Source organism: Homo sapiens, chromosome 10 (assembly GCF_000001405.40).
Source record: "Homo sapiens chromosome 10, GRCh38.p14 Primary Assembly".
In the NCBI taxonomy this organism is placed as follows: Eukaryota; Metazoa; Chordata; class Mammalia; order Primates; family Hominidae; genus Homo; species Homo sapiens.
Window position 1 is genome coordinate 50,325,155 of NC_000010.11, and position 23,478 is coordinate 50,348,632.

The 23,478-nt window shown below is 38.9% G+C and overlaps 1 protein-coding gene across 15 annotated transcripts in view, besides 1 other annotated feature; it reads right to left on the reverse strand.

The window, feature by feature from the left end:
- SGMS1 (sphingomyelin synthase 1) overlaps window positions 1–23,478 on the reverse strand; it is a 319,585-nt gene that overhangs the window by 19,555 nt on the left and 276,552 nt on the right. For 9 of the 15 annotated variants that reach the window (XM_047424974.1, NM_147156.4, XM_047424973.1 and 6 more), the window contains 2 exons: window positions 18,338–19,191; window positions 2,051–2,168 (listed from right to left, as the gene is read on the reverse strand). In XM_047424974.1, coding sequence (XP_047280930.1) covers window positions 2,051–2,168; window positions 18,338–18,960 — 741 coding nt within the window. In that variant the 5' untranslated portion in view covers window positions 18,961–19,191. Of the gene's footprint in view, window positions 1–2,050; window positions 2,169–9,443; window positions 10,562–15,232; window positions 15,311–18,337; window positions 19,192–23,478 lie in introns of those variants that run through there. The other 6 variants (XM_011539584.4, XM_047424980.1, XM_047424982.1 and 3 more) reach the window with 4 other exon arrangements.
- Window positions 11,097–11,176: an enhancer, noted in NCBI's record as "active region_3358". NCBI's record gives its function as "activates an Ori minimal core promoter by ATAC-STARR-seq in GM12878 lymphoblastoid cells {active_cell/tissue: GM12878}" and the evidence as "EXISTENCE:reporter gene assay evidence [ECO:0000049][PMID:35858748]".

Genomic DNA, 23,478 nt, shown 5'->3' on the forward strand with positions numbered 1-23,478 from the left:
TACTTCAAAAAGAAAAAAGAAAGGAAACAAATGTTGCAAATCTTGATAATTATTGAATCTGAGTGTTGGGTTTATGGGAGTTCCTTATAGCAGTTGGGATACATGTGAAAGTTTTCAGAATAAAAAAGTGTATTCTAAATCCTTTCTTCCAAGAGTCTTATTCTACAAAATTAGATTTTGTAGTAATTAGATTTAATGAGTTTTAACTAGTATTTTTTTCTAAGGTGTGCTAATATTTCACCTCCTACTGTTTAAGATTCTAGTTTCCAGAAGATCCTCATAGAATGAGGGCCCTAGTTGGGATTTCTGGCAACACAATAAATGAGCAACACGTTTGAGTTTGGCTTTTGTGAACAGTTCCTGCTGCTACTTCTGTGTTTACGAAGAAAACCCACAAGCTATTCTTAGGCAAAGAATTTTGGTTAGATATGTTGATGACTCAAGCTGACTATGTAAGAACCAATGGCTCACCAAGTATGGGCTTGCCAGCAACTGGCGGAGCTACAGTAGTCCTCAAGAAGAAACAAGTTTAGAACCAGAGTAGGGAGAAAGGCTACATGGTACGGCCCCTCAATACTGGATCCATCTTCAACATGTGCTTGGCCAGAACCTACATCTACCTACCCCTTGGTAGCAAAATTTCCCAATGCACAGACTTTTTTAAGGAGCTGAATTAAACTTAGGTGAATATCCTAAACTGTCAGTTTACTGCTGAGAACATGCTGCTTATCAAGCCAGGCTCCCAGCAAGAGTCCATATCCTTGGATTTTCAATGACAACAAGATATTCCCTATAACCCAGGAGCTACAGGTGAGTGCTTGAGAGCTTTTACAGACAATAAAAACGATGTGAAGCTGGCTTCTTTGGAAGGGCGAAAGAAACTGCAAGAAGGAGAGTGCAGGGAGGCAGGATGGCTGATAGAGAAGAGTGGAATGTTGAGAACATTGCTTTTGTATGACAGCTCTTCCAGAGGTAAGGAAGTAGTGTGTAGCAAAAAATAAAAAAAATTAAAAAAATTAAAAAATTAAAAAAAGCAAAAAGTTAAGTAAGAAATGAGCTATCTCTGTAGGCACATATGTAAGTTTAGCAAAGAAAAGAGCCACAGGAGACATACAAATTAAAGAGATCCAAAATTTCATATGATCAAATTAAAAATCCAGAGTGAATTTTTCAGCTCTCTTTCCAAAGATTCTATCAAAGAGAACATCTCTTCTGGAGGAACAAAAGTACAAAGCAATGAGACTGAAAGTGTTTGGCTGTTTCACCCACACAGGTATAATGCAAAGAAATGATCTCAAATACATCAGAGTATACTATATTTTCTCCCACCAAAAATCAAGGAGAGAAATTAGCCTCTTTTAAAAATTCATTAAAGAGCTTTAATGTACATAAATATTTTAACAATAAAATCTGCTAATTATTTCACAGAGTTCCAACGATCACCCTAGTTAAAAATTCTTCCAAGGTAAAGGTTAGGAGGTGAAGAGTGTCATTTGAATCTGATGGAAAGGTAGAGACAATAAGAGAGGAATAAAGTTTATTTTTAAAAAGACTTCTTTGTTACTAGAGAAAATCAATAAGGCAATATATTACCCCAGAGAACAGTGATCTTATTTGGCTTGGTTGAGGACTGCAAGGAAATAGGAATACTTTCTCTTCCTGGCTCTGCTGTAGGGATTAATAGAAAGAAGGAAAATGGAAAAAATGTCACTTGAAATCGAGCTCTCCCTCCGAGGGAGAGGAAGCATATAAAAGCTTCTGGATGCGTGTCAAAGAAATGAATGATATTTTAACAATTTGGCAGGAAACCAAAGAACTACACAAAGCTTAACTGCTTCCAACACACATTTCCCCAGTTGGGAGGCACTGGCAGGGCTTAGAGATTCTGGGAAGGGTGGGGCTGCCTGGCCATATCATTTAGTAACATTCTCAGATAGAGGAGTGACTCCACTGTATTCTGAAGAAACGTTTTCCTGCAACCTCACTCAAAGGACCCCAGGGCAAGACAAGAAACAAACAGAAAGCGAAATTACAGCGAGGAATAGTTTACCTTCGGAGAACAGTTGAAATGCATACCAGGTACTGGGAGTGTAGTTACATACATTGTAATACACCGATACAGGTACAGCGTGCCAACTATGCAGAAAAATCTTCTGCTAATAATAGACCTAGAAAAAGGGAAAAACAGGGCAGATTCTCAGTCAAGAAATTCTGTAGGTTCATTTACTGTAATTTTTCAATGACTCAATAAAAACAAACCCCAAAAACTACTTGAGAACTTGAAACCAGAATGTTGTAACTATGGCTAATACCAGATTAAGACAAAGATTTTGAGAATAACGTTGTGTGGTGCTTTTTAAAAAATATATTAACTGGCCAAAAGTGCTTAAACTGGTTTATATTGCTATTAATTAGGCTTCATGAGGCCTTAAACTTGAGTTGACGTTCAACTGTCGGACATACAAGTGGAGCCCACGCTGATTGGCCAGAACCCACTCAGTATCTGTGGTTAAACATTTAGTGAGTATTTTTGCTGTCATCAAAGGAAGATCTTCAGAAAATCAGAATGATATTAGAATGAGAATTTAAAACTTTTATGCCATTTAATGAGTCAAAGACATTAAACAATTTTAGTTGTACATCCCAGAAACTGATTCTCTGAGGCAACATGATGCCAAGAACGAACCTATGGAAAAACAGCATTCAATCTCATCCCATTCCTTGACTACCACTGCAGCTTGGGATGCACATTTACTTCTCTGAATCTCAACTTCCTAAGAAGTAAAATAGGGGTAACAACATTAGAAATGATGTCTGAAAAATTCCTACCATATAGTAGGTACAAATGGTAGGTATCAAATGTATAGATTAAGTAGATGAATAAAAATATAAGCAAAAATTAGAAATAGTTTTATTATTATTAGGTTCTAACAAAATTATTTGATATATACATGTAGGTTTGTATCTATCTATATACATACACATGTATATTGAGTTAGATAACGTCTCCTAATATAAAAATTCCATGTAAGTTTGTTCAACTTAACCTCATTAAAGTCTGGTGTATTTTTGAACAAGAACATTCTTTCCCTCTCTACCTCTCTCTTGTAGTACCACAGGCCAGAATCATGTGAGTAACCCTGTGGGTCTCCTCTTCCTTAACCTTGTGAGGAGTTCAGATTTTCCCAAACAAGGAAAATTTAGAAACAGTGGGCAGGTGTTCCTCTTAGGATCTTGGCCATTCAATCATTATAATCATACAGTGTAGCTCCAGTCTTATGCAGGATGGGCATACCTACTGAGGTGTACTAGCCAGAGGAAAATTTGTTTCATGTGTATTTTCTGTTTTAAAAAGAGAAACAAAGATATGTCACTTGTGTGATTAAAAATTAATTTTAAAAAACCATACAATTATACTAGCATTTTATCCACATCTGCACAGCCCATGTATGTTACTTAGGTTTTATGAGTAGAATTTGGGTGTTGGTCTCTTTACCTAGATTTAAGAAACTGGGTCAGAATTATTTACGATAGAAGCCATCTTTGCTTATTTTCTCTTAGTCAAGCTGCGTATGCCTCCTCCAGAGACATGAATTTATTCAGCATAAAGCTGTCTTGGCAATCTATATGCCTCTAATTTCAAGTAAAATACAAAGCACAATTAAATAATATAAAGAGGGACGATACTAGAGAAGAATACCAGCCTATAAATGTCTTTGCCAAGAACACCAAAAAAGAAATACCAAAGTAAATTCTACATTGTAAGACATAATGGTCATCTTTCTTTAAAAGAAAATGCCCTCCTTAGCCATCCTGCTAAAGTGAACAGAAATTATTTGCAATTTCACTTGAACTATACAAGAAACACCTAAGTCAGCACACTTTCAAGTCTAGATCTGCTGAACTCTTTAGAGGAAGAAAAATAAAATTATTGCTTTTGCTAAAGATTACTATCTTAAAATCACTTTGCCTGATTATTTTATGATGCACAAAAGGTACACATACTCACACACACACCACCCCAATAACTATTTCCATATTTCAAACTTGACTTACATGTAAGTACCAACAGAAGTGATTTCAGAATTATTTAAAAATCTAAGAATGAGGTATAAAAAGATGAGAAAAGACAAATACATAAAATTGTTTTAATTAAAATACTGAAGATTCAGTCACATTTACTATTTGACTTAAAGTGAAAGAGTCAAATGACTTTGAAAACTGAAATTTGACCATTTCCATGTGAAACTGTCAATGTTAACAATAAGGTGACAAGTTAGAAGTGGTTGTTTTTAAGAATTTTCTGCTCTTTGGCATTTAATATTTTTGAAATTAAGCTTAGAATGTCTTTGGCGTATAATGTTAAACAAGGATTTTCTACAACAAACTTTAACAGAGGATAAAAGTGTTTCAAGAAATTGTATGCACTTCTGGGCGTTCACTTCCTTAATCAAAGAATTTCATACACTTAGAATTCTTATTCACTTAAAGGTTTAAAAGTTCAAGATGTGCTTTACAAAAACTCACAAAAGAAATGTTAATGAGATATTGCTAGAAATTAAGCAGATGCCAACAAGAAGATGTACAGTACAATTTTCAAAATCACAACGGTGCTCCCCTCACATGGGATACACCTCTCCTTCCACATTCAAAAGAAGCCAGTTTCCCATCTGCACACACTTGGCAAGGACTATCATTTCAGAGTCTTGTGTTTGGTCGCGTTTATCTATTTTTCTCCCAAGTGTTAGAGCACTAGGCTCATTATTACTTTTTCTGAGAGAAAAGGAAAATGTATCTGTTCAATTTGATTATAAGGAAATATGAATAAAAGTGTTAACATTTTATAGATCATTATTAAGACTTACTAGAATAGCATGTTATGTCAAGTACATGCTAGTATTTTATTAAGCTTTTTTATATTCCTAATTTTTAAAAACATTGCTCAGAACTTGACTAAATACTACCAGCACTAGAGTGTTTTTGGCATTTGGTACAATGATCTAAAATTCTGAAGAAAGGTCAGGCATGGTGACTCACGCCTGTAATCCCAGCACTTTGGGAGGCTGAGGCAGGTGGATCACTTGAGCCCAGGAGTTCAAGATCAGCCTGGACAACATAGCGCAACCCTGTCTCTACTAAAAAACAAAACAAAACAAAACAAAACAAACAAACAAAAAAACATTAGCTGGACATGGTGGCATGCGCCTGTAGTTCCAGCTACTCTGGAGGCTGCAGTGGGAGGATCGCCGGAGCCTGGGAGTTAGAGGCTACAGTGAGTTATGACTGTGCCACTGCACTCCAGTCTGGGTGACAGAGTCAGACCTGTCCCTAAATAAATAAATAAATGAAAAGGGGTTAAAAAAAATTACTATAGTGGAAAGTAAAACTAAAATACTGGAAAAAGTTTGTTTTCCCATGAGTTGTCTCTTTCAACTAATCCACAGTAGGAAGACATACACAGCTCTTTCAGTGCCCAGACCTGGCCTCCTAGCTCTTTCTGGAAGCTATTAGCTTTTAGAGATAAATAGGACTTGACAATGGTGCAGTGGAACTAAGCAACAATTCAAAACTAAGAGGCAATACACAAGGGAGAGCACATGTAACTAACACAGAATTGGGAGACTCAAATCTCTGGAGCAGTTATGGAAGAGTAATGATTCAGGTCTCTGATTAGTGATTCCAGCTGTAAAACATGAACGGACAGACAATACATCACTGAGCTGTATCTTTACATAGATGCTAGTTTTACCTTTAACAAAGGCTCACCTGGTGCCTTTGACCATCTCAATTAATTTCCTTAGAAATTAGCTTCCTCAACAGCAAAAGGAAGAAAAAGACATCACTTTCTTATGAATCAGAGAAATGGGTGACAAAAAAACTGGAAAGGCCATGAAATAGCACTAAGAATGGGCATCAGAATAGTCATATTTTTCTTAATATATAAGGTTGAAAAATGAAATAATTTTGTTTAGAGCCAACGACCACACTACTAAAAAACAAAGTTTCTATTGAGGTATTTCCCCAGGCATGGTATTACCAACAGCAATTGTTTTGCCAAAGTTCTCTTATATACCAAGCTCTGTGTCATTTACTTCTTAAGACCACCTGGCAATGCATGGATATGATCCTTATTTTACAGATGGGAAAAGTGAGGTTTAGAGAGTTTAAGCTGAAATATAAACAAAACAAAAATATTCAGGAAACTGCATCACATTGTGTAAGAAATCTGAATTTTGAGTATTTACAGCTGAGCCAACATCCCATCCCATTTCAGCCACATTTCAAAATCTACTTAATGACTATATTAGTAAAGTACTGAAAAAATTATTCTAGTATCACATAGCTATCTAAAATTACATGTGTCCATTTTTCATTATTTTTTGTAGTCTTGTGCCCAGTTAGATTTGCTTATTACCACCTCGTATGTTAAATCAGTCATCCTGAAATGTCATCCATTTCTCAACACTCTATCTCACCTGAACATCCACAGTAACCTTCTTTCTACCTGTTGTCCTTAACACCACTCTTGCCTCCTGCTATGGTCTGAATGTTTGTGTCTCCTTCCCCTCAAATTCCTATGTTGAAACCTAATCACCAGTGATTAGATCACAAGGGCAGGGTCCTCAGGTCTGAATTAGTGCCCTTATAAAATAGACAATAGAGGTGGGCTCACCCTTCTGAAATGTGAGGACACAGGGAGAAAGCGCTATTTATGAACCAGGAACTTGGCCCTCACTAGATACTAATCAGCCTGCACCTTGAGCTTGGACTTCCAGCATCCAGAATGCTGTAACTCACCCAGTCTACGATATTTTGTTATTGCAGCCTGAACAGACTAAGGTAGCTTCCTAAAATCCATTCTGTTTAGAACCGCCAGAATCATCTATTTTGAAACAGTTAAACAGGTATGTCCCTTAAAGCCCTCCAATGGTTGTCAAACTCATTTTAATAAAATCCAAATCTTTTCCCAAGACCCTGAGGCCCTATATCTGGCTACCTCCCTCTAGCCTGCCCTCTGGCCACCCTCCCTATCATTCTCCAGGCTCTATCTCAGCCCAATGACCTTGGGGCTCTTTGAACACAGCTTGCGAAGTCCCTCCTGCCTTGAGTAGGATCTCTGAGCCAGCCATTCTCTCTGCCTGGATTCTGCCTTCTCCTGGGACACTTGCCTGTCACTGACATTCCATTCAAATGTCATCTCTCAGAGAGGTCCCCTACTCTAAGGAAGCCCCTGCTCCTCTCTATCCTATCCTTCTATTTTAATTTCTTTACAGCCCTCCTGACAACATTCTGCACCCCCACATTCCCATATTCTGTGGAAGCTAACTAACTCCAAAGAAATTCTAAAACCTGTTTCCTTAATTCCTTGCTACAGCACCTGGATTCCCTGGATTGTGACAACTCCCCTCATAGCTTTCTTCAACTCCCTTCAACATGACATCTCCTTTTTTTAAGTCTTTTTTTTTTTTTTTTTTTTTTTTTTGGTGAGACAGGATCTTGCTCTGTCATCCAGGCTGGAGTGCAGTCGCATGATCATGGCTCACTGCAGTCTCCATCTCCCGGGCTCAAGCAATCCTCCTGCCTCAGCCTCCTGAGTATCTGGGATCACAGGTGCAGGCCACCATGGCTGGCTAATTTTTAAAAAATTTTCTGTAAAGACAGGGTCTTGCCATTTTGCCCAGGCTGGTCTTGCATTCCTGGGCTCAAATGATCCTCCTGCCTCCACCTCCTCTGTCTTCTCCTAGATGTGAATCCCACTGCCAAGGGCAAAAAGAGCCACTCATTGTTCCCTAAACACAAACTCAATTTCTTGCTTTTGCCTGTCAATTTCTTTCTCTGGCCTCTCACATGATTATGTCTGCTATAATCCTATGCATCTACCTCATGGCTTCCAGATGTCCCCAACTGGACAGAGCCACTTCATCCTCCCAATTCCTTCAAATTTTGTTTCTACTGTATGGTATTTTTTAATAGTGAGACTGGAATCACCATTACCAACAAAAATGTCTCACGTCTCACCCCTTTTGTGAGAAGACGCTCTTAAGAAGACCTGTGCTTTCTTGTCTTTTAGTCCCAGGGAGACTTATGATGGTACCTGTAATATGACTGGCAGTACCAGCAACACTACACAGTTTTGTGCTCTAGAGCTTTAATTCTTATTCTCTCTGAAGTCCTTTTCTACTTCTTTCTACAAATGTTTGTTGCTTAAACCCTTTTATGTATCTGCCAGAGTTACTCTGCCCTGATGCTCACTATCCCTTCACTCTGCATCCTTTCTGCATTCATATTTTTATTCAAAACACTTGCTGAGATTGCTCCATTATCCAACCAGGACTGCAAACCCCTGGAGATTGGGGCCTGTGAGTTCTGTATCCTTCTCTCTTCTTTCTAGTCTCATTGTCCTGTAAGGCCTTTCCACCCATCACAGCCTCAGGTATCTCAATGGCTACAGACTCCATTTAGGAAAATCCAGGGCTTAATTCAGTACTTTAGGAGAGAAAATTCTAAGGAAAGGTTAGTAAAACAAATGAAGAGCAAGACTAAACATGGTAGAACAGACAAAATAATCAAAATAAATGCTTGCCTGGGAGATTTAGAACTCATTTAATATTCCTAGGTACCCATACAGGGTAGATGGCACAGTTCATGAATCAGGAAAATGAGACATACCTGTGCACCAGTCCAGAAATGTGTCTGTACATATACTATGTGTTTTTGCTTTTTAAAATCCAACTCAAACAAAATTCACACCTTTGTTACTAATTATTTTAACAACATTCCTGTTTAGCATATACCATTATCCCATTTTACAGAAGGGGAAATTGTATGAGGAATTTAAGTACTAGCCTGGAGCCAGAGAGTAAGTCAATGACAGAGTCACAACAAAACCCAGGTCTTTCAGACTTTGAATCAGCTGCTCTTTTTGCTAATGAAATTAAAATGTTACTTCCTGACTTATATACAGGTTGTAACAGGAAGTAAAGAAAAAAATGCTACCCTATAAGACATGAACAAAAACATCAACACTATCTACTTGAGATAGTTATGTAGAATTAAAATCAAGTATCCTCCAGAAACTGCTAAATAAAATTGTAGACAAAAGGTGTTAGATTTCTGTGTTGGTATTTTAGGCTGTCAACAAAAATAATGTATGTATATATGTGTACATATATGTGTGTATACATTAGTGTATATATACACAGAATACGAATGTGTATATGCATACATGTGTGTTTGTGTGTGTGTGCGTATACACACCCAGATCTCCTCATTTCTTCCCATCATCAAAACTTAACCACCTTGAGTCACATTGTTAGGGGCTTGCTTAGTCACAGCCAGCAGAACTGAACAATTAATGTTTACTCTTGGGCTAAGGGATTATCCTTAAAAGCAACACTGTTTTTTTAACAGGGGGTTTCTGAAAACATAACAGACACATCACCAGCAGTCACTAACATTTATTGAATTCTAGGCACAGTAACTAGCATGTGCAACACTTAATAAATTTTAGTGTCTATTAAAATTCACACAATGAATATACATGTGCTATTCTAAACATGCGGAATACAGCAGTGAACAGAATGGACAAACATCCTGGCTTGTGGTGCCTGTGTTCTAGTGAAAGAGGCAGACAATACACAGGTAAAGAAATAAGTAAAATATAGAGCATGTTAGATAAGTGCTAAAGGGTAAAACTAAGTGAGAGTCTCACTGGGGGAAGGGAGGTTAGAATTGGGGGCTAAGTTGGTCAGAGAAGGTCTACCTCTGTATGATGGGTCAACAAGGAGGTTATCTGTGGGAGAAAATTCCAGAGGCTTGTGTGTGTCGGTGTTTGTTGATCATCAAGGGAGTACAGGGCATGAGGTCTGGGAGGACCTCGTAGGTCACCATATGAGGACACTGGCTTTAATGCCATATGAGGTGGAAGAAGAGAAATGTACTAAAAGCCCACTAAAAGGAAGCAAGACCAGGTAATAACCTAGGTAAAAGATGAAGGTGGTTAGACCTATGCCAGCAATAGATGTGGTGAGGAAGGTCAGAGGATCACTTGAGTCCAGGAGTTCCACACTACAGTGAGCTGTGAGCTATGATCATGCCACTACACTCCACCCTGGAGGATGAAGTGAGATCTCATCTCAAAAACAAAACAAAACCCAACACATTTGGGCTGAGCACTGGGAGGAATGGAAATGCCACTGGTGGGCTTGGGAACCAGGAGGATGCCAAGTACTCTGTCAAGTGCTTTATGCATATCATCTCGTTCAATCCTCAAGACAGCATTATAGAAACTATAATTTTCATTTTGTAGGTAAGGAAACAATGCTACTACAATAGTCAAGTAACTTGGCCAAAGTCACTCAGTCAGCAGGCAGCTGTAGGGATCTAAATCAAGAATGATCTTCCAGTGTAAGACTGAGTATAACCACATGCTTCACCACCACAGTCATGGCACCGACAGGCTGGTGGGACACAGATGTGGTGACTTCTAAATCAGATCATGAGTAATTAGACATCCATGATGGTTTGTTGAGAGGAGGGAAATAGACAATCCCTGGGCATGCTGTAAAAGAGAAGGCCAAAATGATACCATTTAGAAATACACATGTACACAGAGTACTCATTTATGAGCACATGCAGAAAAATATCAAAAGTTATATGAACCCAAATATGAGCATCATTTATCTCTGGTGAGATGATAATTTGGTTTGTCTTTTTGTTTATCCTTATCTTCTAATCTGCCTACAAGTCAAATTGCTGGGATTACTAACTTTAGAGAAAAATCTACAATTTCCCTATAATTCCTATGGCTCAGTCCATTATTTAGGTCATGAGACCTAAAATTGTAAATTAGAAAAGGTAGAAGCAAAGAAGACCACCAGTTCACCAACATGAGAATGAAAGGTGAGGCACAATCTGGGACTGAATCCATCATCTAGCCTTTAGAGTGTCCTTCCCCACTCCAAAAAAACTGCCCTCGGTAAACAAAAAGAAGACAGAGGAGGCACAGCGAGGCCTGCAAGAGGCTAGGAGATCCAGATGATCTGGGAAGAGAAGGGTCAGAGAAGGTCCCCAGGAAAGGAAAGAAAATGGGATCTCAGCTCAGGCTCTGAGCCTAGATAGATAATAGGTCAGAATCAAGGGAAGAGAGAAAACGTACTAGAAACAGAAAGTAAAAGAATAAGGTTGGGCATGCCTAGTCAGTGGTCTTAAGTGCAGAAACGTGACTGAAGTTGGTAGCAAAGGAAGCTTTATCAGATTAGTAGTGAGTAGGGCCCATTCCACACTTAGAAGGTTCCAGAGCTAGGACAGAGCTAAGGGCATTTTCTACAGTCTATGGGGAACTGCAAAAATGGACGGCTATCAAAGTTGGCAGATCCATCCTGAAACACATGCACGTCTCCCAGATGGAACCCAACACATAAAATATATAATTAAAAAACTGAACTCATTTGTTTTTATTCTGTCCTATGCACGTGGCATCTACAACACTAAATCTGTTAAAAAAAAATACATCTCCAAAGGACAGATGCCTATAATACCAGGAAATTTATAGACTGGATGTATAATGAAGAGCCTTCAGTGCCCAAAATATGCCACTGTAGGATTCTGGGCAAGTCAATAGCTTCTCCAAGTCTCAGTTTTCTTCACTGAGAAAGGAGAATAACACTACTTGTTTTAAGGGTTGATTGTATCAAATGATACAATACACATTAATGCTTACTACTCTAAAATCAGTTAGTTTGGAACCTGCCTCTTGAATAGGATAATAATTTTTGACATGGATTAAAAGGAACAGAACAAAACAGATTTTGAGTAAGCACATAATTGATGCAGCTACATGTGTGGAGGGAATAGAAAGGAGGGAAAGAGGTAATCCCTGAGCACCTACCTTGCTTTATTGCTGGAGATAAATATTACAGCTTATCAGAGAATTAAATAATGGGTAAGTATCCGAAAAAGCACCAGTAATATGAGGGAATTTTGTCCTCATGAGTTTCATACATGGATGGAGTTTAGACAACACATTTTCAAAAACTGAGATGTCACTCTAAGAACAAACATTTCCCAGAATATAACCCCCATTCAACTGTTCTGCTCGCTGCTATATCCATAGCACACAGTCCCCAATAATTTTTGGTAAATAACTAAACATAAAAATGTTCTGAAGCTCCATTAAAGACTACAATTATGGTCCCACAGTATATGGCTAATATATAGTAAAGTGAAATGACCTTAAGAAAAGGTTCTTCCGGAACTCAGAAAATAAATTCTATTGAATAGAAACCTCCCCCTCCAACTTCATATCAAATGCTCTTTATATCAAATGCTTTTAAGAACTTTAATCACAACCATCGAAGACATAAAAAAAGGGAAAAATTGTTGACAGTGTCTGTGGGTCATAAACTACCTTTGGGAACAGAAGAGGAGTTAAGTAGTTTGATTCAATCAACTTAATGTGAAAAGAAACACTGATGGGATTAAAATAGGGTAAAATGAAAGATAAATGTTAGTGGAGAATCTAGTCTATTGAATAAAACACAAACCAAAAACAGATTAGCATCTGACAAAAGCAACTGCCAATCAGTACAAAGATTATGCTTGGAAATTAGATTCCATTCACAGAAGAGAGGAAAATGCTATAGAAATAATCTCTTATGTTGGCTGATACCCACTTAACAAATAAGGCCCCCAAAAGGCTTATCAAAGGTTAAAATACAAAAAAAAAAAAAAAAAGTCTTTCCCAAAGTGACCTCCAAACATGAAATACAGAATGTTAGTAAACTTCTAAAAATCCATCCTAGTTCTCTCAGCATATAATCCCAGAAAAGCCATACTGGAAAGTTGTATCTGTTCATTCCTGCAGGATTAACAAAACCCCTAGAAACAGTTCTAAAACTTGATGCCATGGCAGGTCCCAAGCAGGATCTGTGGTCATCATTTTTCTTCTTTACTTCCTTCCCTTTTGGCATGGGATCAATTTTCAGAGAAAATTGTCACCCACTAAGTGACCATTTCCATTTTACTAGCCTCTCTACAAATCAATGCAACTGCTTATGCCAGAATGTTTTACCACTAAGCTCTCTCTACCCCTGACCCCAACCCATAACCCAACTGTCCAATGGTTTCTTTTCTTTCTTCAAATCTTTTCACCACCAACTGACTAATATACCCTGTGACATCTAATTTCTCCTTATACAACTGTCTTATGCTATTCCTTTTAGGCAAATGTCTGACCCAAAAGAAGCTATGGTAGAAAACACATATCAAGATATATACCTGACTTCATTTCGCTCGGAAATAAAATATATTCAAACAAAGTTGGAGATTTCCCCAAATTAGTAAATGCTATTTCCCCATCAAATTCCATATACAAATCAAGGATTCACAGAGACCCCCAAAAACCTCCTATGAGAAAGATACTGCAACAGAAGTCAGCCCTGTCATTATAAAAGATTAGAAACTATAAGTGTCATGGCTTCTAGAAAGAGTTCAGCCCTTCTCATTACCCTTCCACAAAATTTATTCACTAAACAAATGTTAACTGAGTCTAAGTCATGATCATCTTCTACCTGGACTACTGCAATGGCATTTTTTTTTTTTTTTTTAGAGTTTCACTCTTGTTGCCCAGGTTGGAGTGCAATGCTGCGATCTCAGCTCACTGCAACCTCCGCCTCCTGGGTTCAAGCGATTCTCCTGCCTCAGTCTCCCGAGTAGCTGGGATTACAGGTATGTGCCATCACGCCCAGCTAATTTTGTATTTCTAGTAGAGATGGGGTTTCTCCAAGTTGTGAGGCTGGTCTCAAACTCTCAGCCTCAGGTGATCCACTTGCCTCTGCCTCCCAAAGTGCTGGGATTACAGGCGTGAGCCACCACGCCCAGCCTGCAGTGGCATCTCAACCAGGCCCCCTGCTTCAACTCTTGCTTCCCTAGTCTCTGTAATGCAGCCACATTCTTTTAAACACCAGTTTCATTCTTTTAAAACACCAGGTTTTTCATATCCTTCTCCCCTAATGGCTTACTGCCACATTTGAAATAAAATCCAAACTCCTTATCCATCCATGGCTCACAAGGCTAACACCTCACTGACCTCCTGCATCAGGGTTCTCTCCCAGCTAACTCAGCCACATGGACCCTTGACCGTTCCTCAGGTAAGTGCCAGAACTCTGCACTTTCTGTGTCTCCTGCATCAACTACTCTTCCCCAAACACATGCATGGTATTCACTCTCATTTGATTCAGATGTCTGTTCAACCATCTTCTAATCAGAGGAGTCTGGTTTCCGATCATTCAATCTAAAGTACCAGCCTCTCCCCACTCTCTCCAACACTTGCAAGCCCTTTGCACTGCTTTATTTTTCTCCATCACACTAGCCAATATCATATATTCATTTACTGCCTCCCTTACACTGGCCAGAATATAAGCTTCACGAAAGCATCAGGATCCTTTACTCAGTGGAGCATCCCCAGGGTCTATCGGTGCCTGAAATATGGTATACTGCTTAATAAACACTAGTTGAATGAATGAATGAATTTCAGGTAAGCACTTTGTATGTGCCAGGCACTGGGATAGAAAGGTGAATGATGAATAGGGTCTAGTTCTTCCCCTTGAGGAACTTACAATTTAGCAATGAAGGAGACATATATACAACTAATAGAATGAAATGTGATATGGGCTTAATGTGTTTGAGGAAAACTGTGGAGTGGAGTAGCTAGAGATAAGGCAGGAGAGACTGGGACCAGATGCTGAGGGCCCTTGAGCTTCAGGCTAAGGAGCTGGTTCTCCATCTGAGCACCCACTATGGAGTTCTAAATAGAAATGGAAAGAAGAAATGGATCTAAAATTAGAATGGAAACAACTTAGTGACTATCTGGATAAAAGGAACTGAGGAGTTCTAGGTTTCTAGGAAATGCCACTGGCCAGATACGAGGAAGAAAAAGTTGGAAGAAAAATATAGTAAATCTGGTTTCATGCAAGTTGAGTTTGAGGAACCTATGACCACCACACTAAGTCATAATTTCTCTGGTGACTTGGAAACTCTAGAGTCCTGCTCCTTGGCTTTCTTCTTCAGGTGTTCACCATGTCCCAGTAGAGCTGAGCCACACGTATCACACATAGGTGCCACTGTGTTAGCCATTATTTAGCCATGCATGAAAAATCCTTACATCTTCAGCCTTCATCAAATCTCTAAGTTTAATATGTTCTTTATCATGCTTTCTTAAAACAAGGGATACCTGTTTTGCAGTGAAGTCTGACACAAATGCAGAGATTTCCCAGGAATTTTTCCTAGTCAGTGGCTTGAAAGTCCAATTCTAAATGGGGAGACAACATTATTTACAATTGTAAAAACCAAAAAAGTTCTCAAGGACAGGCATTATTGTTGCTTTCCATTTTGAGAGGTCATGGAAATCCCATGTGGATTTACGTATATATAAACATATATACATACAGATATGCAGGGGAGACATTAAGAATGAAAGGAGGAAAAATTTAAGTACAAAAAAAATCAAAACCTATGTTTAATAGTAAAGGACAATTTTATACAACATAAAGATAGAACCAAATGTCACAATGTCACAAATTCAAGATTAAGATTTTCCAGCACCTCAAACATTTGGTTAAAGGGTTTATTGCTGGGAGTTTTTGGCCAAATTCTAGTGATCTCATTTCTTAAGTAAGTGATCCTCTAGTTCCATCCCATGATTCTTCTCTAAAAAGTAGAAGAAACTGAAATAAGAAGGATAGACTGATTTTTTAAGGGATCCAGGACTTTTAAAATCAAAGTAAAAATATTCTGTTGGGAATTACTGGCCAAATAGGCTTAATTTGGAGAAGTCGTATAAAACAGGCTCCTAAGTGGCACACCTCCTAGTGGAGATTGGGGATGGGGTCAACACTCAGAAGAGTCAAATACAAAAACAGGGAGAAGTTAACTCTCTGCTAAGAATATCCCATAACCAGAAGGATCAATTTCTCCAAAATGCCAGATAAACAAAACTGCTATAATGCAATAACTAAATAACTAGAAACAAAGGGTCCCTCTGATACTACAAAAGATTTTAACCTTCTCTATGAGAGCCAGGAAAAGGTAGTTTATCCATCTTCACTGCTTGATGTGTCATCTGTATCTTTCTTCCTACCTCCTACCTGTCTGGTGGGCCAGATACACTGAAGAGAGGTCACAGGGAGAGAGACAGGAAACCAGCGATGGACCCCAGTAGAAGGACAGGGTGGACGATGCTTAGGAAGATCATGACGACTCTGCTTTCATTTCCCACATCCCTATCCCGCCAGAGGTGAAAATCAGAGAGGACTTAGTTGGATGCATTCTGGACACAAACGCTCTGAAGCTAATAAAATTCAATATAATTGGCCCATCCAATTATGTTAGAATCTAATAAAATGTAGTTGTATATATATATGACAACAGAAATCATCTAGACTGAGACGTCATTATTCCGTTTGTGAGAAAAACGAGGCTCCTGAGATGTAAGGATCCACCCAAACCACTCAGCAAGTTGGACACACCTGAGGCCTCATTCCAGCACTGAGTTAATTTTGTCAAATCAACTGGTTTCTTGCTTTGAGCAATTTAAATATATAAATGACTACAGTATTGTCAATAAGTACCAGGAAAACGCAAAATCATAAAGCTTAAAGAGAAATAGATTTGAGGAAAATTTCCTGTTGGGAAAATTGTAATTATTAATATACTTTAAGAAAATTAGTTTTATGGTTAAGAGGATACTTTATAAGAATAAAATTACTTAAAAGTCACAGTTCTGTGAAAGATTCTGATTCGTAACTGTTAAGACTTACTCAAAGTTATATTGTGGGGTAGTAAATTATTTGCCTGAATTTAAAAATTTTGATGAAAAACCGGAAAAGGAGCAAACTTACAAAAACAAAACAACAAATATCAGGGAAAACTCAGGAAGCATAATTTGAGTTGACCTTGCCTTTGTACAGTACTGGTATTTTGTTCCAGTGGGATTTTAGGAAAAAAGTTTAAAAGTCAAAAAGGCAAAAGCAGAACTAAAGTTTGGCAGCAAAAATAATGCATTTAATAAACTCCAAGTATCTTGTATTTCTAAAGCCTATTCCTATTTATTAGCCTCTTAAAACCAAAGGAACAGAAAAAAACGTCTTCCACCAAATTAAATGCAGCCCAGACCAACAATTCTATTTCAGATTCAGCTTAAACTCTAGGACTGTCAAACCATCTGTAAATAAACACTGATCAGTTAAATGGCTTTCTTTATACCAGTTAAGACCGTCCATCCCTGGGAAAGTGTCAGGAACTGCTTTTATTTCAATTTGTAGATATATAATTTATCAGGTTAAAAAAAAGAGTTGTTATAAAACATACTAGGAAAAACCTTATCATTTCTGTCAAAGAACATTCAGCATGAACTCTCAGTGTGCATTTTGTTTTCTTGCTGTAAGATGAATTCCTTAATATTTAACCACATGGTGGATCATGAAACACACTCCACTGGAGAGAAACTCAGCTCTTTAACAAACCAATTTCCAACCCTCATTCATGGAAACCATAAGGCGTTCCTTTAACTAAGGAGAAAATCAAACATCAGTGAAGGGACAATGTAGGCAACCCCAGTAAACAGCCAGTCTGAGGGGGTCCATGTTGAGTTTAGAGCTTCAGATATGAAAGCCACCTTGGATACACCTGGAACTAAGTGGGAGTTGCCTACTTAAAACTCTGAGAAATTTGAATGCAACAGTCACATATTGTTTTAAGTAGTAGTAGTAGAAGGTGGGAATCCATTCAGGTCCATCCACTTCCCACCTACCCAAAGGCATACCCTTTGGTATTGTTTTCCCAACAACCCAAGCCACTCTGGAACAGGTGTTCTGAATTCTGTGTGAAACATCTTTAAATACATATTGCTAAGGCTCTAGATGTCTGACTCTGTGTGGGAAAAGCTATGCAGCCAATTTATAGTGCTTAGGCCAACTGTCGATTTATTTAATGGGTTAGTAACACCAACCAAGACTAGGTGGTTGATCTGTTGTTCAATAGCCTGTACTGTCTGAAGATGTCTGAGAGTTTTCTTTCTTATTAAGTGAAAACAGAGCATCATCTCTAACCATCTTATTCATCATCCTGTATGAATCTTGCATAAAACAGGCAACAAACAACATTTTCTTTTAAAGCTTCCAGACAGTAAGTTAGTCCAACAGGGTATGTGTTTAAAAAAGAAAAAAAAATAGTATGTTTTGATCCCAACAAGTTGATAAATTTCATTTATAAATAATAAGTAGATGTTTGGAGTGCAAATCCCATAATCATTGAATCTTAGAGCTTTTACTTGACTTACTTGTATTTTAAGAGCAGCCACTGAATTAACCAGAGTCCTACAAGGATCATGCCATTAATTTCACAAATAGAAAAGGCCCACTGCACCCGGTTAAAATGGTCAAAAAATGTGTCCGGTAGTGGAGGCTGCACCTCCTTAGGAGGTACTCGTTCGTGGACGACCGAGATCATCACTGTGGTGAGAACGAAACAGGAAAGTGCATAAAGAAAGGCCAGAAAAGTCTTGCCCCACTCCATGGGGTACTGAGAGCGCTCCAGTTCTGGCATGGGGATCTTTATCATCTCTTTCCTATACCCATTTGGCATCCCGTTGGGTTTAATCTTGATGCTGAAGCTGCCGTCGGGGGTGGGGATGTCTACGCCAATGTTGAGGTGCCCATTGGCATGGCCGTTCTTGTGTGCTTCCAAATGGTGCTCCATTTTCAGGGTTTCTATCATGTCCAGGAGCCGCTGCCCATTGTCAGAGGAGACTCGGCACAAGGGGGGTTTTTTGAAATCCTCTTGGGTTAGGTTGATCAAGTCCTGGCCTGTGAAATGCTCCAGAGGCTCACAGTATTCTGGCATAGCATTCTCCAGCAGCCAGTCTGCCACCTTCTTGGGTGACCAATAAACCACTTCCTTCATTGTACTGGCAGACAGCAGGCAGTCCCCAGCTCTCTCTTGGCAGGTCAGCAGTCACTGTTCCGACAGGGCAGGACACTGTCCTGCCTCGGCTCGTTCATCCTGTGGGGCCTCATGAGCAGAGACTTGTTTGGCAAGATGGTCAGGGCAGTTTTTAAACACCTCATGTAGCTGTCCAGGGTTCCTGAGCGCCCAAGTATTAATTCACCTCATTTTTGAGCAGGATTCTTCCTTCTGTGAAAGCAAGAGAAAATATCAAGATGCTGTACTTCCAAATTACCCCTCTCAAAACGCAAAGCCTTATATACATAAGGAAAGTAGAAAACCAGTTATTGGTAAACTTAATAGTTTTCAAACATGTATTCGTTTCAGGGACTACTGATTTCCTGGTTATTAGTCTTTTGCGACACACATTGAATTGGATCTGAAAATGGATGTTGTCAAAGGAGACATATTTTATAGAATTTCCAACGGTCAGCCGGGCGTGGTGGCTCACGCCTGTAATCCCAGCGCTTTGGGAGAACGAGGCGGGCGGATCACGAGGTCAGGAGATAGAGAGCATCCTGGCTAACACGGTGAAACCCTGTCTCTACTAAAAATACAAAAAATTAGCCGGGTGTGGTGGCGGGCGCCTGTAGTCCCAGCTACTCCTGCCCAGGCTGAGGCAGGAGAATGGTGTGAACCCGGGAGGCGGAGCTTGCAGTGAGCCGAGATCAGCCACTGTACTCCAGCCTGGGCGACAGAGCGAGATTCCTTCTCAAAAAAAAAAAATAATAATAATTTCCAATGGTCTATTTTCTAAGAAGCAACTTGACAGTGCTTTGGACACTTTTCAACCTGGTCAAGAGACCAGGTATTCTCTTTGTCCTTACATGCTTCCTGAGATAATTTAAAAGAATAAAATATATTTGCTTACTCTACCTCGTGAAGAATGTTTAAAAATGTACATAACATACAGCAACTCACAGAATTGCTGAGCTTCAAAATCAACTGGTTTAATATTTTTATATTCTTTAAAAAAAAAAAATCAGTGAATCCCCTTTTCCATATGTGCTTAGGTCCCAAATAGATAAAAGATCTACAAATGCCGCTGCTTGGGTTGAAGCCCATGTGAAGGGCCAAGGTCCTGACTGCTCTGTTGATCTTTCTTAATCTCAGCCCCTCTCGGGTTCTGTGAGATCCCACAGTTTAAAAATTAAGGATCTGATCCAACTCCTTCATTTATAAATGAAGAATGTGAGTTCTAGAAATGTCAAGAAACTTGCCCATGGCCAAATGGCAGTCTGCATAGAAGAGTTACAAGTTAAGTTTCTGAGTTCTAGTTCAGTGGATTTACTTATTAAAATATTTTACTAACTATGTGAAAATAACCAAATGCACATCTGTAGGGAAGATTTTAAAGTAGGATTCAAAATTTTATAAATTTATGCATAAATAGAAACATACATGTATAATGTGTATATATAATACATATAACTGTAACTATGGCTAACTATGGTACACAGGTTGAGAATCCCTAATGCTGAAACTCAAAATCCAAAATGCTCCAAAATCCGAAACTTTTTGAGAATTGACATGATACTCAAAGAATATGCTCATTGGAGCATTTCAGATTTTTGGATCAGGGATGCTCAACTGAGTGCATTCTGGAAATATTCCAAAGTATCCCCAAGATTGAAATCCGAAACGCTTCTGGTCCCAAGCATTTTGGATAAGGGATACTCAACTTACATAATATTGTATAAAACAACTGGAAAGAAATATATCACATATTAACTGCAGTTATACTTAATGATGGTTCTGTAGGTATTTTCTACTTTTCTCCACCTATTTTTCTTTAATAAGCATATATTACTTTTATCACAATCATACAAAATAAAAAACAAGAAAAGTTAAAAATAAAAGACCTTAACAAACTCCTTAACAAAGCATAATAATAGCTGATGAAATGTGGCCTTTGGCAGAAGACGGACCACAGTTTGACTCTCAGCATCTCCCATACATAATCCATTATGTGAGCTTCAGCTTATTCACCTCTAAAATGAAGATAATGATAATCAAGTATTTCCTTCACAGGGTTGTTGTCGATATTTAACTAAGAAATCATATGTGAAAGTTCATGAAACATAACCTAGCTCTAAAAGCAGTGATTTTCAGATGGGTCTTTGGGTACCCATATCCTTTTGTTTTTCTTTCTCAAATTATCTATTATATCCAGTAGCCACTGTCCACTACATCTCACTATAAAAAAAACTCTACCTACCAGGGGGCTAATTTTTTTTCTCAAATGATGACTGTTGCAAAGATCTGGAGATTTAAGGGCTTGAAATGCTATTTCCCTGAGTATGTTTTTGTGAAATAATAATCTGATAAAATCTTCCAAGCTTTTAAAAAATATATAGCCAAATAAGCCTAGGAATACATACTATAATCTCTCCTGGGGATAGCAGTATGCATTAGGATGTTAAAACCTCCAGGAAATCCTCCAATAAAGAAACTATTTACCAGGATTTCTCAAGCCGACTTCATCAAGGCTGTCCTACTCCTTGCCCCTTTTCCTATAGGACTCATCTCTACTGAATCCCAAAATCTTTTGCTTGTCAGGGTGAGACAGGGTCTTACTCTATTGCCCAGGCTGGAGTGCTGTGGTGCAATCATGGCTCACTGCAATCTCTATCTCCTGGGTGCAAGTGATTCTCCCAACTCAGCCTCCCAGAAGCTGGGACCACAGGTGCATGCCACTGTATCTGGCTAATTTTTAAAATATCTGTAGAGATTGGGGTGGGGGGTCTCACTATGTTGCTCGGGCTGGCCCAAATCTTACTTTAGAAAGAATCCCATCTTACTCTGGGAGTCCCAATCTTACTCTGAGAGTCCACTCTCAGTTTTTCAGTCCATATAACAACCAATCAAGTGGCAATAATAGCTTTTAAAGATATTTCAGACTTTGCAAACAAACTGGGTGTTCCCTCTTCTGAGCATCCATAGTACCGTGCACTTTCCCTGTCACACCTTCCTGTGACTAAGTGTCTGTCTAGACTCCCCAAAGAGCCTACGAGTGAATGTGAAGTAGCTACAATGTTAAGCACCCATAGATCTACATGCCCAGGGCTCAGAAGATAATCAATGTCTGCTCAATATCTTCAAAAATATTCCTTTGACCTAGTAATGTGTAGATGGCTTAATGGAAAACAAACCTGCTGAAAATACCATTGACAATGAAAATGGCTGTAAAACAATTTGGACGCGCAAGGAGAATAAGATGGGCATTCTCTAGAGAAATGTAAAACCAAAGTACATCTCTGACTGCTTAAAAACCACCGTAAAGAATTTCAATTGCCACCAGTACTGCCCAGAGAGTGTCAAGAAGACACACATGCCAAATGGGAGTTCTGGCAGAAGGTCAGGAAGAAAAGGGGAACTCCTTGGCCTCAGACCCAAGGCCTCCCTTCAAACACTCTCAGCAGAGTTAGGAAAACAGCCAAAGGAACCCTCAACATCTTGAAATGGGTATGAGAACTCTAAAGAAATATTCTCAGTGGAGTGTTGAGGCCCAAGGGAGATGAACACAGGCTTTTCACCTAGGTTCTTCATTTCCCCCTTGCCCAGCACAGGAAGCCAGCCAAGATAGGAAACTCCCTGAGAACCACAGGGACCAGACAGAGGCCAAAGTGTTATTTCAGTCCTCTCTGATGAGAGGAAGAGTCACATAATCTCCTCTCAAGAGATAATCAACTTTTTAAGAAATATTTATTTATTTGTTATTTTACTTTAAGTTCTGGGATACATGTGCTGACACGCAGGTTTGTTACTTAGGTATACATGTGCCATGGTGGTTTGCTGCACCTATCAATCCATCATCTAGGTTTTAAGCCCCTCATGCATTAGGTATTTGTCCTAACGCTTTCCCTCCCCTTTCCCCCTACCCTATGACAGGCCCCAGTGTGTAATGTTCTCCTCCCTGTGTCCAGCTCCCATTTATGAGTGAGAACATGTGGTTTTTGGTTTTCTGTTCATGTGTTACTTTGCTGAGGATGATGGGTTCCAGCTTCACCCATGTCCCTGCTATTTATGACAAACCCATAGCCAATATCATACTGAAAGGACAAATGCTGGAAGCATTCCCTTTGAAAACTGGCATAAGACAAGGATGCCCTCTCTCACCACTCCTATTCAACATAGTATTGGAGTCCTATAGGAAAAGGGCAATAAGGCAAGAGAAAGAAATAAAGCGCATTCAAATAGGAAGAGAGTAAGTCAAATTGTCTCTGTTTGTAGATGACATGATTGTATATTTAGAAAACCCTATCATCTCAGCCCAAAAAGTCCTTAGGCTGATAAGCAACTTCAGCAAAGTCTCAGGATACAAAATCAATGTGCAAAAATTACTAGCATTCCTATACACTGATAATAGACAAGCAGAAAGCCAAATCATGAGTGAACTCCCATTCACAATTGCTACAAAGAAAATAAAATACCTAGGAATCCAACTGACAAGGGATGTGAAGGACCTCTTCAAGG